The 14,351-nt window shown below is 35.4% G+C and overlaps 1 pseudogene across 1 annotated transcript in view; it reads right to left on the bottom strand.

Moving 5' to 3' along the window:
* ANKRD36BP2 (ankyrin repeat domain 36B pseudogene 2) overlaps positions 1 to 14,351 on the bottom strand; it is a 40,695-nt pseudogene that overhangs the window by 18,204 nt on the left and 8,140 nt on the right. Inside the window, exons 3-10 of the transcript NR_015424.1 lie at positions 11,820 to 11,892; positions 5,631 to 5,659; positions 5,468 to 5,540; positions 3,767 to 3,795; positions 3,467 to 3,672; positions 1,895 to 1,923; positions 1,730 to 1,802; positions 47 to 75 (exon numbers count right to left, since the gene is read on the bottom strand). The product of NR_015424.1 is annotated as an ankyrin repeat domain 36B pseudogene 2 (transcript). The remainder of the gene's footprint in view (positions 1 to 46; positions 76 to 1,729; positions 1,803 to 1,894; positions 1,924 to 3,466; positions 3,673 to 3,766; positions 3,796 to 5,467; positions 5,541 to 5,630; positions 5,660 to 11,819; positions 11,893 to 14,351) is intronic.

The following is a 14,351-nucleotide window of genomic DNA, read 5'->3' as shown; positions in this document are numbered from 1 at the left end:
AGGATATGCAGTTAATAATTAAAAATATTAATGTAAGAGTAATTACCTTCATGGTGGGCAGATTCTCAGGATACTCTAACAAGCAAGAGAAATATATAATCAATCATATGTAAATATGGTAAGGCCAACCATACATTCATGGAGTGTTAGCATCAAACTGAATACTCTTGCCTGTATTAGTGTGGGGTTTCATGTTTTTCTAGTTTGTTTCTTTGGGACAGTAACGTGATAGAAATGCAATGAAGAAAACAGGAATACAGGCTTCAAAAAACATACAGTTACAAGTTAAAAAGTGAGATTATGCACCACATCTATTGCTAAAAAAAAGTGTTAATATCAATGTGGATATGCTGATTAACAAGGAGAAATGAGATCTAAAATCAGAGGAGCAAATCATAACCCTAGAAATAAGTGTAAAAGCTGGTGCTAACTGCCACCGCATGACTTTCATGCAAGACATCAGAAGGATTTATACCATTATAACACAAATATTCATCATGCTCTTTAACTTGTTCGATAACTGAGAAGGTACACAATTACAATGACACTTCAGTTGAATGTACACTTCACGTCTCTTCAGTGTAAGTGTCCTGAATTGATCTGCTTGGATATATGTTTGGTGAATCCTAGTAGTCAATATTCATTATTTATCATGCTCATGTGGTGTAATAATCTGCCTACGTTTCTTATATCCTCTAGTTTAGCCTTCAGAAACTTTCTTCATCCACTAATGGCAAGAAGGTATAATATATAAACCCCATCACAAAGTATAATAAATTATACATACTTATACAAAATGGAATTGCTCCAGGCATTAGATATTAATAAACTTATACATTTGGAAATCAGTCCAATATTCATTGAAAATAACCATTTTAGGATTCAATTAATGCATTCAACATTATTTTTGTCTGTCTGGAATATCACTTTACTATAAAGAATTTTCATTAAATAGCTATTTTAACAAAACAGCCAGCATTTTGGAAAAAAGCTAATATATTCATATTAAATTTCAACTCATTTGAATAACTAATAAAAATATATGTCTGATGTCTGATAGTAATAAACATGAATAATGAGGCACTGTGGTTTGTCCCAACTCTAGCACTCCCTGATTCCAGTAGTCATTGGAGCAGCCAGAAATCAGATCTTCTGGTATGCAAATACTCTAAATGCATCTGAAGTGAGTTCACTCAGGTTTCCTCAGCAGAAACCCCAAAATTACCTAAATAACTTCTTCCTTCCTCTCTTTCTTGCCTTGCAATCCCTCTTTCTTGATGAAAATAATTACTACATCAGTGGTCACCTTGCTCCTCATTCTCCAGTGTTTATGGATTATTATGACAACTTCCTCCCTCTGGTTTTAGCAGTACCATCTGACATCTATAAGTTCTATTACTTTTTTCTCTTTCTCCTTCCCCTTTCCATAGAAACATGCTCTGAAATAAGAGCAAAATTATGCTGTCCCCCGAACCTCTTATGTCTTGAACTGTTTTCCAGTGGTTCTTCTATCCAAATTCAATGTAGGGAAGTCTATAAGCTTGTTACTAAGATCATGGCCGAGGACCAACAGCATCAGCATCACCTGAGAACTTACTAGAAATGCACAATCTCAGGCCTGCTGAATCAGAAAGTGCATTTTCAATGACACCCCACTGATCTATTCAGGGGTGGGACGTTCTCTTCTGTCTTGAGTGCACATGACATTAAATGTGTATTGCCAAATTACCTGTTCCAGATTTCTGACCACCCATTATTCTTGTGGCAATATTCAAAAGAGAAACTTTCTTTTTAAATATAACCTGAATGGAAAGAGAAGCAAAATAGTCAACATAATATATATTTCATATGCTATGCAATAAATAATTCAAAATATAAATGAAAGAGTAACTACCTTCCAGGCCGATTGTTTCTGAGAAGACACTGAAAAGCAAAAGAAATATATAATCCATCATATGTAAATATGATAAAGTCGTCCACACATTCATGCAGTGTTAGCATCAAGCTGTAACCTCCTGCCTGTACTAGTGTAGGATTTGATGTTTTATAGTTTGTGTCTTTGGGACAGGAACATGAGGAAATACACTGAAGAAAATAGGAATACAGGCTTCCAGAAAATATACAGTCAGAAATTACAAAGAGGTATTATGCGTCATGTGTGTATTACTGAAATAAAAAGCGTCAATATCAATGTGGATATGCCAAATGATGAAAAGAAATGTGATCTAAAATCAGAGGAGCAACTCATACACCCAGGAATCAATGTCAAAGAAGGTAGTAAATGCTACTGCATGTTTTTCATGCAAGACATCAGAAGGATTTATACCATTATACTGCAAGTATTCATCATGCTCTTTAACTTGCCTGGTAATTGAGCAGGTACACAATGACAATGACACTTTAGTAGAATGTACACTTCACAAGTCCTCAGTGGAAGTGTCCCAGCTTCATCAGCTTGGATATAGGTTGGGATAATCCTGTATATAATATTCTTTATTTCTCAAACCCATGTGGTGTAATAATGTGCCTACATTTGTTGTGCCCTCTAGTTTAGGCTACAGAAAGGTTCTTCATCCACTCATGGCAACAAAGTATAATACATAAACCTTATCAAAAAGTATAATAAATGATTAAATTTGACATACTTATACAAAATAAAGTTGCTACAAGCATTAGATATGAATAACCTTTTACATTTGGAAATCACTCCAATATTCATTGAAAATAAGAATTTTAAAAGTCAATTAATGAATTCACCATTATTTTCTTTCTAAAATAGTCTGGTTTAAAATATCATGTTATTCTCTAAAGCATTTTCATTAAATTGCTATTTTTATCCAAAAGTTAGCTAATTGAAAAGCAAAGCCAATATATGCATATTCATGTTTATCTCATTTGAATAACTAATATAAACAAAATGTATATCTCTGATGCCCAACAGTAACAAAGAGGAGTAATGAGTCACTGTGGCTTGTCCCAGTTCTAGTACTCCTTCCTGCTTCCACTGGTTCCTAAAGCAGCCAAAATCAAACCTTCTTTTAGGAAAATGTTCGAATATGCAACTGAACTCAGGTTTCCTTAGAAGAAATCCCAAAATTACATAAATAACTTCTTATTTTCCCTCCTTCCTGCCTGACAATCCTCTTCCTTGAGGAAAGTCATTGCTACATCAATGGTCTCCTTAGTTCTCGTTCTACAGCGTTTATGGGTTTTTACAATCATTTCTCCATCTGTTTTTAGCAATACGATGTGACGTCTGTAAAATCTATACTTCATCTCTTTCTCCTTCCACCCTTGGTGAAAACATGCTGTAGAATTAAAGCAAAATTATGCTGTCCCCTGACTCCTTATGTCTTTAATGGCTCTCCAACCTTTCTTCTTCCCAATTTCAATGTATGGAAGTCTATAATCTTACTGCAAAGTTCATGTCGAAGACCAGCAGCATCAGTGTCACCTGAGAACTTACTACAAATGTAGAATCTCAGGCCTGCTGAATCAGAATGTGCAGCTTCAAAGAGTCCCCCGCTGATTTATTCGGGGAAGAGAAGTTCTTGTCTATCTTGGCTGAACATGACATTAAATCTGCTTTGCAAAATTATGTCTCCCAGATTGTTGTCCATCCTTTATTTCTGTGGCTATATTTGAAACAGAATCTTTCTCGTCACTTGCAGCCTGAATGGGATTTGAAACAAAATAATCAATAAATAAAGTAGGTTTCATAGACTATACAGTTACTAGTTCAACGTATAAATGAGACTTTAATTACCTTCTCAGCTGGTTGTTTCTGAGAAGACACTGAAAAGCAAAAGGGATACATAATCACTCATATGTACATATGATAAATTTATTCAAACATTCATGCAGTGTTAGCATCAAGTTGTATTTTCCTGCCTGTACTAGTGTAGGCTTTGATGTTTTCTACCTTTTGTCTGGAGACTGGAACACGACAGAAATACACTGAAAAAAAAGGAATACAGGCTTCACAAAATATACCACTACAATTTCAAACGTGGTATGATTTGTGATACATCTAAAACTAAAATAAAACCATGTCAATATCAATGTGGATATGCTGAGTGATGAGGACAAATCAGAGGAGTAACTCACACACCTGAGAATCAATGTCAAAGCAGGTGGTACATGATCCCGCATGTCTTTCTTGCAAGAAATCAGAAGGATTTACACCATTATACTACAAACATTCATCATGCCCTTTAACTTGCCCAATAACTAGAAGGTACACAATTACAATGACAATTCAGTTAAATGTACGCTTCATGTCTCTTCAGTGGAAGTGTCCTAAATTGATCGCCTTGGATATATGTTTCCTGAAATCTAGTAGATAATATTCATTATTTCTCACACCCATGTGGTGTAATAATTTGCCCAAGTTTCTTGTATCCACTAGTTTAGCCTTCTGAAAGTTTCTTCATCCACTCATGGCAACAAACGATAATATATTAGCCTCAATAAAAATATCATCAATTACCAATGTTAACAAACTTCTACAAAGTAAAACTGCTACAAGCATTAGATATTAATAAGTTTTACGTTCAGAAATCACTCCAATATTCATTGAAAATGACCACTTTAGGAGTTAATTAGATTTCAACATCATTTTTGTTTCTAAAATAGTCTTGTTGGGAGTATCATGTTATTCTCTAAAGAAGTTTCATTAAATAGCTATTTTATCTGAGAGTTAGCTCCTTGAACAAGGAAGCCAATGTATTCATATTCAAGTTTATCTCATTTTTATAACTAAAGTCAACAAAACATGTATCTCTGATGCCTAATGGTAACAAAGAGGAGTAATGAGTCACTGTGGTTTATCCCAATTCTAGCATTGTTTCCTGCTTCCAGTAGTTCTTGGAGCAGCCAGAATCAAATCTTCTTTTATGCAAATATTCCAAATGCATCTGAAATGAGTTCACTCAGGTTTCCTCAGCAGAAACCCCAAAATTACATAAATACCTTCTTCTTTTTCCTCCTTCCTGCCTCACAATCCCTCTTCCTTGAGGAGAATAAGTGCTACATCAGTGGTCCTCTTAGCTCTCATTCTACAGTGTTTATGGAGTTGTTAGGATCACTTTTCCCTCTGTTTAAAACAATACGATATGATGCCTATAATATCTATTACTTCATCTCGTTCTCTTTCCCCTCTTGATGGAAACATGCTGTAAAATTAAAGCAAAATTATGCTGCTCCCTGAGCCTGGTATGTGTTGACCTGCTCTCCAATGGTTCTTCTTCCCAATTTCAATGTAGGGAAGTCTATAATCTTACTACTCAGATAACGGCCAAGGACCAGCAGCATCAGGGTCACCTGAGAACTCACTACAAATGAAGAATCTCAGGCGTGCTCAATCAGAACGTGAAGCTTAGATGAACTCCCCACTGATTTATTTGGGGAAGGGAAGTTCTCTTCTATCTTGATTGAACATGACATTAGATGTGTTTTGCAAAATTACCTGTCCCAGATATTGGTCCCTCCTTTATTTCTGTGGCTATATTCGAAACAGAATCTTTCTCGTCACTTGCAGCCTGAATGGGATTTGAAACAAAATAATCAATACATGAAGTAGGTTTCATAGACTATACAGTTAATAGTTCAACATATGAGACTTTAATTACCTTCTCAGCTGGTTGTTTCTGAGAAGACACTGAAAAGCAAAAGGGATACATAATCAATCATATGTACACATGATAATGTTATCCATACATTAATGCATAGATAGCATGCTAGCATCAAGTTATATCCTCCTGCCTGTATTTCTGTAGGCTTTGATATTTTACACTTTGTTTCTTGGGACTAAACATGAAGGAAATACACTGAAGAAAATAGGAATACAGGCTTCAAGAAATACACACTGACAATATCAAATGTGATATGACTTGCTCCATATGTCTAAAATCAGAGTCCAACTCATACACCTGGGAATCATCAAAGCAGGTGATACATGCACCTGCATGTCTTTCACACAAGATATCAGAATGATTTGGAACATTTTACTGCAAACATTCATCATGCTCTTTAACTTGATCGATCAGTGAGAAGGTACACAAATATAATGACACTTTAGTTGAATGTACACTTCACATCTCTTCAGTGGAAGTGTCCTAACTTAATCAGCTTGGATATATGTTTGGTGAATTCTAGTATGTAATATTCATTATTTCTCACACCCATATGGTGTAATAATGTGCCTACATCTCTTGTATCTTCTAGTTTAGCCTTCCGAAAGTTTCTTCATCCACTCATGGCAACAAGGTAGAATATATAAACTTCATCAAAAAGTATAATAAATTACCAAATTTGACATACTTATACAAAATAAAGTTGCTACAAGCATTAGATACGAATAAGCTTTTACATCTGGAAATCACTCCAATATTCATTGAAAATAACCATTTGGGAGTCAAGTAAAGAATTCAACATTATTTTCACTTCTAAAATAGTCTGGTTGAAGTATCATGTTATTCTCTAGAGAATTTTTATTAAACTGCTATTTTATCCAATAGTTAGCTCCTTGAAAAACAGAGCCAATGTATGCATATTCAGGTTTATCTCATTTGAATAACTAATATCAACAAAACATATACCTCTGGTGCCCAATAGTAACAAAGAGGAGTAATGAGTCACTGTGCTTTATCCCAATTCTATCACTCTTTCCTGCTTCCAGTAATTCCTGGAGCAGCCAAAAATCAAATCATCCTTTACGCAAATATTCTAAATGCATCTGAAGTGAGTTCACTTAATCTTAGAGTCATAATTTAAAAAATCATTTTCTTTATACTCATGAAGACTCCTGATGTTTTTACACTTCCTGGATTCAGCAGTTTGGCCTTCTCACTGTCTCTTCATCCACTTTTGCAAAAACATACACATCAATGAAATAATGTGTAATCAGATTCCTATGAAAATAAACTAAACAAAGTTTCTAAATCACTAGAGACTTCTTTCCTTATAAATAACCAACCAATATGACATACACACATATATATATATATATATATATATATATATATATATATATATATATATGTCATGATTGTCATGATTATTGGCAGTTATCTGTTTAGTACTCTAAAAATGCATTCTTTGATTCCTTTTTTCTAAATCTAGTTTCATATGATATACCATAGGGGTCTCTCAGGTTCTTTTACGAAATAACTACCTCAGCAAACACAGCTTTCAAAAAAAAAAAAACACTTTTTCTAGATTAAGCTGTATCCCAATATGATAACCGATGTGAACGAAGCATGTATCACTGATGTGCAAAACTTCTAGGGAGGAGAAATGAGACCCTGTGGGTCACCCTCATCCTTCTAACTTCTGCTTTCCATTAAGTGACTTCCCACAAGTCTCCTCATCAGAAACCTCCAAATTACCTAGCTAGCTGCTTTCTCTGTTTACATCCGCCCAATTTGCAATACACTCTTTTTCGTTCATAAATCTAATATCCATATTGGTGGACTTGATTCTTTGACCTCCACATTCATTTCTTCATTATTTTCTGCACCACCGTATTGTGACATCTGTACAATCCCATTCTGAAACATGTGAAGATAAGGTTTTGCTTTATTAAAATGTTAAATGTGTCAGACACTTGACTAACGTGTACAAATTCCTTCTTCACAAAAGCAGCCCCATGGTCTCCTCTCTCCCATAGACACTGTTTCACAGCTGTTCTTCACTCACATCAGTTTGAGTATCTATCATCTCTCATTTTGTCTCTATGCTTTCACCTTATATTATGAGTTATTATCATAGGCTTAGCAGCCTATCTTACCTATTTTCCTCTCCAGGAGACAGTACTGAGCAGTAAATTAGAATTTTCCAGGATATGAACACTTTTATATACACAACACTTTGTGGAGCTATTTTATGTTTAACTACCCATAACACCACTATGTCTATGCTTTCCAGAGAAACAAGCTCTGAAATTTTATTGAATATAACCTATTTAAAAACTTCTTTAACTACAATGAAAGTCTCTCCTTGATGCACCAAAATCTTCAGAAATAACTTGTGAAGACTTGAAAATATGTCAGTAATTGACATGAAAAATGACGCATTGACATAATTTTTTGCAGGTATAAATAAGACAAGCTGAGATCCTTACTATATCCAAGAAGAGCAAAGTACATTAGACAGGAAATAAATATGGAACAGAAACATTTTCATTTGTAATGAAAATTCCTCCATTTACAGTTTTCAGAAGAGAAAAAAATACACACACACACACACACACACACACATTCACACACAAAAACCAGAGCAATATGGCTTTACAGGGTGTTTCTTCATCAAAGGCCTATTTGTCATTTCACATCCGGGAACACTCTATAGGGATCAACAAAGGGGTTCTAAATTGTGATCTGAGTAGTTTAGAGTTTAACATTCATGAAGGGGAGCCGAGACCATTGGCCATTTCCTCTCCTTACCGTTATTCTCTGAAAAGCACATAATGGATTTTCTCAGAGTCAGAACATGTCAAAAAGACATGCTTTAAGGGGGAAACAGTTGCAATCAACACAGCCATGGGAGAGATACAGCTATGTTTGCTAGGATTTCCAATACTTCTGTTTCATTTCTAATATAGTACAAATCAATAAAAGCAACCACGTAAGCATATCCATGTTGGTATGTCATCATATTTAAGTCCATATGGTATCAGCATGAAGACAGCATAATATGCTGTAATCATCATATGGCATATCATGAGATTATACAATAAATCAAGAAATACCTCACTGGGTCAATGTGGATAGATCTGAAATATATATCACTGATTTTACAAAGACCAAGTTTTATTCATTAAGTGCACTGCCTGAACTTTTCTACAAGCTTTTTAACACAAAATAAAGTTCTACATGTTATCTATGAATGTGCACATATGTTGTAAGAGGTTTTTAACGTGCATTTGGGTAATTTTTTTTTCATTAATTCAAGCTTTTGGTTACATGTCGGCAGTAAGCTTTAGTATTATAGAAAACCCAAAACCATAACAGCTCAGAATCACCGTCTTAAAAGGCTGTGTCTACCAAAGAGTCAGGAAAGCATGACCACTTACTTTCTTCATTTTTAAAACTCAGAGGTACCTCATGCACACTCCCAAATAAAACTGCACAAGTTCCTTAGTTTAATTAGATCCCATTTGTCAATTCTGGCTTTTGTTGCCATTGCTTTTGGTGTTTTAGTCTTGAAGTCTTTGCCCATGCCAATGTCCTGAATGGTATTGCCTAGGTTTTCTTCTAGGGTTATTATGGTTTTAGGTCTTACTTAAACGTTTAAGTCTTTAATTTATCTTGAGTTAATTTTTGTATAAGGTGTAAGGAAAGGGTCCAGTTTCAGTTTCCCGCATAAGGCTAGCCAGTTTTCCCAACACCATTTAGTAAATAGGTAATCTTATCCCCATTGATTGTTTTTTGTCAGGTTTGTCAAAGATCATATGGTTGTAGATGTATGGTGTTACTTCTGAGGCCTCTGTTCTGTTCCATTGGTCTATATCCCTGTTTTGGTACCCGTACCATGCTGTTTTCATTACTATAGCCTTGTAGTATAGTTTGAAGTCAGGTAGCGTGATGCCTCCAGCTCTGTTCTTTTTGCTTAGGATTGTCTTGGCTATATGGGCTCTTTTTTGGTTGCATATGAAATTTCCAGTAGTTCTTTCTAATTCTGTGAAGAAAGTCAATGGTAGTCTATAGCACTGAACCTATAAATTACTTTGGGCAGTATGGCCATTTTCGTGATATTGATTCTTCCTGTCCATGAGCATGGAATGTTTTTCCATTTGTTTGTGTCCTCTCTTATATCCTTGAGCAGTGGTTTGTCGTTCTCCTTGAAGAGGTCTTTCCCATCCTTTGTGAGTCGTATTCCTAGGTATTTTATTCTCTTTGCAGCAATTGTGAATGGGCATTCACTCATGATTTGGCTGTTTGTCTTTTATTGGTGTATAGGAATGCTTGTGATTTTTGCACACTGATTTTGTATCCTGAGACTTTGCTGATGTTGCTTATCAGCTGAAGGAGATTTGGGGCTGAGACGATTTGGTTTCCTAAATATACAATCATGTCATCTGCAGAGACAATTTGACTTCCTTTCTTCCTATTTGAATACCCTTTATTTTTTCCTCTTGTCTGATTGCCTTGGCCAGAACTTCCAATACTACGATCAGAGTGAACAGGCAACCTACAGAACAGGAGAAAATGTTTGCAATCTCTCCATCTGACAAAAGGCTAATATCCAGAATCTAAAAGGGACTTAAACAAACTTACAAGAAAAGAACAAACAACCTCATCAAAAAGTGGGTGAAGGATATGCTCAAAAGAAGACATTTATTCAGCCAGTAAACATATGAAAAAAAGGCTCATCATCACTGATCATTAGAGAAATGCAAATCAAAACCACAATGAGATACCATCTCACGCCAGTTAGAATGGTGATCGTTAAAAAGTCAGGAAACAACAGATGCTGGAGAGGATGTGGAGAAATAGGAACACTTTTATATTGTTGGTGGGAGTGTCAATTATTTCAACCATTGTAGAAGACAGTGTGGTGATTCTTCAAGGATCTAGAACCAGAAATACCATTTGACCCAGCAATCCCACTACTGAGTACATACCCCAAAGACTAAAAATCATTCTACTATAAAGACACATGCACATGCATGTCTACTGCAGCACTATTCACAATAGCAAAGACTTGGAACCAACTCAAATGCCCATCAGAGATAGACTGGATAAAGAAAATGTGGCATATACACATCATGGAATACTATGCAGCCATAAAAAAGAATGAGTTCACGTCCTTTGCAAAGACATGGATGAAGCCTGAAACCATCATTCTCAGCAAACTAACACAGGAAAAGAAAACCAACCACCACATTTTCTCACTCATAAGTGGAAGTTGAACAATGAGAACATAGGGACACAGGGAGGGGAACAACACACACCGGGGCCTGTCAGGGGGGTGGGGTCCTAGGGGAGGGATAGCATTAGTAGAAATACCTAATGTAGCTGATGGGTTGATGGGTACAGTAAACCACCATGGCATATGTGTGCCTATGTAAAAAACCTGCATGTTCTTCACATATATCCCAGAACTTAAGGTATAATACAAAACAAACAAACCAACATTAATTCAGGTTGTTGGTTACCTGTAGGCAATGAATTGTAGTAGTATAAAAGATTCTAAAGTTAAAACAGCTCAGAATCATTGCTTTAAAACAATGTATCTACCAAAGAGTCACCAAAAAATGATTAATGACTTTATTCATTTTCCAGAATCAGAGGTATCACACACACCCAAACTCACAAACGAAAGCACACACGCACATACACATGCAGAAATTCAAGCTGGTAATCAGAGCATGTGATTGGGTGAAGATTCAAAGGTTCTCAGTGTGACAACACTGACATAAAGAAGTTAAAGTTCTAACACAATTGTAATGTCAGCAGGTATAGCTTTCCTCTAGGTAAAGGACAGTATTGCAACGAGAAATTGAAGCACTGAAAAATATTTATAGTTTCAAAATTCACCTCCTTGAACCCCTAACATGCATACAAATTCCACATTGGGATCTTTATCACAACCTAAAAGGAAAAGCATCTGAGCTAGAGCTCACATTTTTAAAATTTCTTTTCCTTATTCTTCTAAATATCATTTTATAAGCACAGACACTAACAACAGCATCAGCATCATTTAGATCAAATCCTTCTACCTTATGGGGGGAAAAGAAGTAAGAATCAGAAGATTATGAACATTTCCAATATATTCATGTCCTTCTTTCCAGATGAAATTTGTATTGGCAAATTTACCTTTTCCTGGAGGTGGTGAATCCTTCCTTCTTATGGCTACTTTTGAACTGGGATCTGCTTCTTTCAGGGTAAGCTGAATGGGTTTTACAACATAATGATTAATATATCATGTATATATCACAAAGATGAAAATATATTTGTTTACTGTGGATAAAGGAGGTTGCTCAGAAGATTCTACAAAGCAAAAGGGACACATAATTAAGTACACGTAAATATGACACAGCCCACCATCCACTATGTAGTGTTTGTATCCAGCTGAAATCTTCATGCTTGGTCTTGAAACCGTTACCTATTAGGCTCTGGGTTGCTTTTGCTCTTGTTTTGGTTAGCATACAGACATGGCAGGAACATACACATGGAAATCACAATATAGGTTTCATAAAACATGTAGTCCAGATTTCAAGAGAGAGATTAGGTTTCACATGACTACAACTAACACAGAAAAGTACTTCTACCAATGTGATCCTCTTAACTGAAGCCAAAAAATGTGATGTCAGACGAAAGGACCAAATAGGACCCCAGAAGGATATATGTCAAAGCCCATGGTAGAACGCTATGGTGTACCCTGAAGAAATCACCCAAGAACCATTTATACTATAATACTACAATAGTTCTCCTGTTCTTCATTTTGTCCTCTAACTTAAAAACTATCAATTTCATTAAAATGTATCATTCACTTCTGCTTGAAGGATGTATTCTCAGTTCATTAGTTCAGATATCTACATACAGAAGCATAGTTAACAAAAATACTCATGTTGTCCAGTCATGCAGGCTTCTGGTGTTTTTCCATTTCCTGGATTCTCAACTTTAGCCCTCCTGCCATCTCTTCATTCACTTATGCAAAAAATGTATACATTACACTCCAAATACCTAATGTGTAATTAGATTCCCATAAAACAAATCTAACCAAAATATTTGAAACATCAGAGGCTTCATGTTAATCACCTTTTATATATAAAAATATTTGCCATGATTATTGAGTTACATTTTAACAAACCTGCACGTTGTGCACATGTACCCTAAAACTTAAAGTACAATAATAATAAAATTTAAAAATAAATAAATAAATAATACTTAAGAAATATATTTCTTGATTGTTTTGCTTCCACAGTCAGTTTGACATGCAGTGCATCGCATTTTGCTAACATGAAGCACCTGTCCTATTGTCGATGTGTGACCCCTACAGAGAGAAGAATTGAGTCCCTGTGGTTGACTCTCATTCTTCCACCTTCTGCTTCCAGTAAGCTCTGAAGCAACAATAATCCAATATTCTGTTCGAGTGCGAATATACCAGGTCCACATAAAGTGAGTTTTCTCAGGTTTCCTCATCAGAAACCCCCAAACACCTAGCCAGCTGCTATCTTTATTTACACCATCCCACCCCACTTGCACTCTTTTTTGTTGATAAATCTAATCTCACTATCCGGTCTTCATTCTTTGCCTTCCACATTTTGTTCTTCATTATTCTCACCACCCCTGTGATTAAACCAGTAAAATCTTGTTTTTATAAATATGAAGATATGGTTTTCCTTTATTAGAATATAAAAGTTACAGAAAATGGACTAACTTGTACAAATTCCTTCTTCACAATAGCAGCCCCATGTCCTCCTCTCTCCCATAGACACACTGTTTCATAGTTTCTATTCACTCACATCAGTTTCATTGAATATCAACTCTCATTTTATCTTTATGGCTTTATTTTACACTAGGGGTTATTATCAAAGACTCAGCAAACTATGTTACGTATTTTCTTCTACATGAGAGGTTACTGAGCAGTAAATAAGAATTTCTTTGGATATAAACACTTTTATGTACACAAACTTTTTATGAAGCTAATTTATGGTTAAATACACATTACACAATTATGTGTTATGTGTTCCAGAGAAACAGGCTCTAAAATTTTATTAAACATATTTAATTTAAAAACTTCTGCAATTACAATGACATAGTCTCTGCTCAATGCAGCAACATCTTCAGAAATCACTTGTGAAGACTTGGGAAAATGTCAGTCATTTACGTGAAAAATGAGAGCATTAAGTGACAACACTGCTTGCTGGTATAAATAAGACAAGGCTAGATCCTTACCAGATTCAAAGAGATCAGAGTGCCATGAGACAGAAACAAATATATAAAACAGAAAGATTTTCATTTCTACCCAAAAATCGTGTATTTAAAGTTTTCAGAAAAGGACAAAATGCAAGAAAACACAGCAGTGAGGCGTTACAGAGGATTTCTTCATCTGGAGACTATTTATCATTTGACATTCGGAAACCCTTTATAGGGCCCAACAAAGGGGTTCTAAAACTGTGATTTGATCATTCCTGGAGTTCAACATCTATGTAAGGAAGCCAAGGTACCAAATGATACTTTGGCCATTTCTTCTTTCCAATGTCATTCTCTGAAAAGCATACTCTGGGGTTTTTCAGAGTCATAACATGATGGAAAAACATGGCTCTAAGGAGTAATGAATATAGTCAATACAGCTATGGCAGTGTACATAGCTATATTCAGGGTATCTGAAATACTTCTATT

This window comes from Homo sapiens, chromosome 2 (genome assembly GCF_000001405.40).
Source record: "Homo sapiens chromosome 2, GRCh38.p14 Primary Assembly".
Lineage (NCBI taxonomy): Eukaryota > Metazoa > Chordata > Mammalia > Primates > Hominidae > Homo > Homo sapiens.
This window is presented reverse-complemented; position numbering and strand designations above follow the sequence as displayed.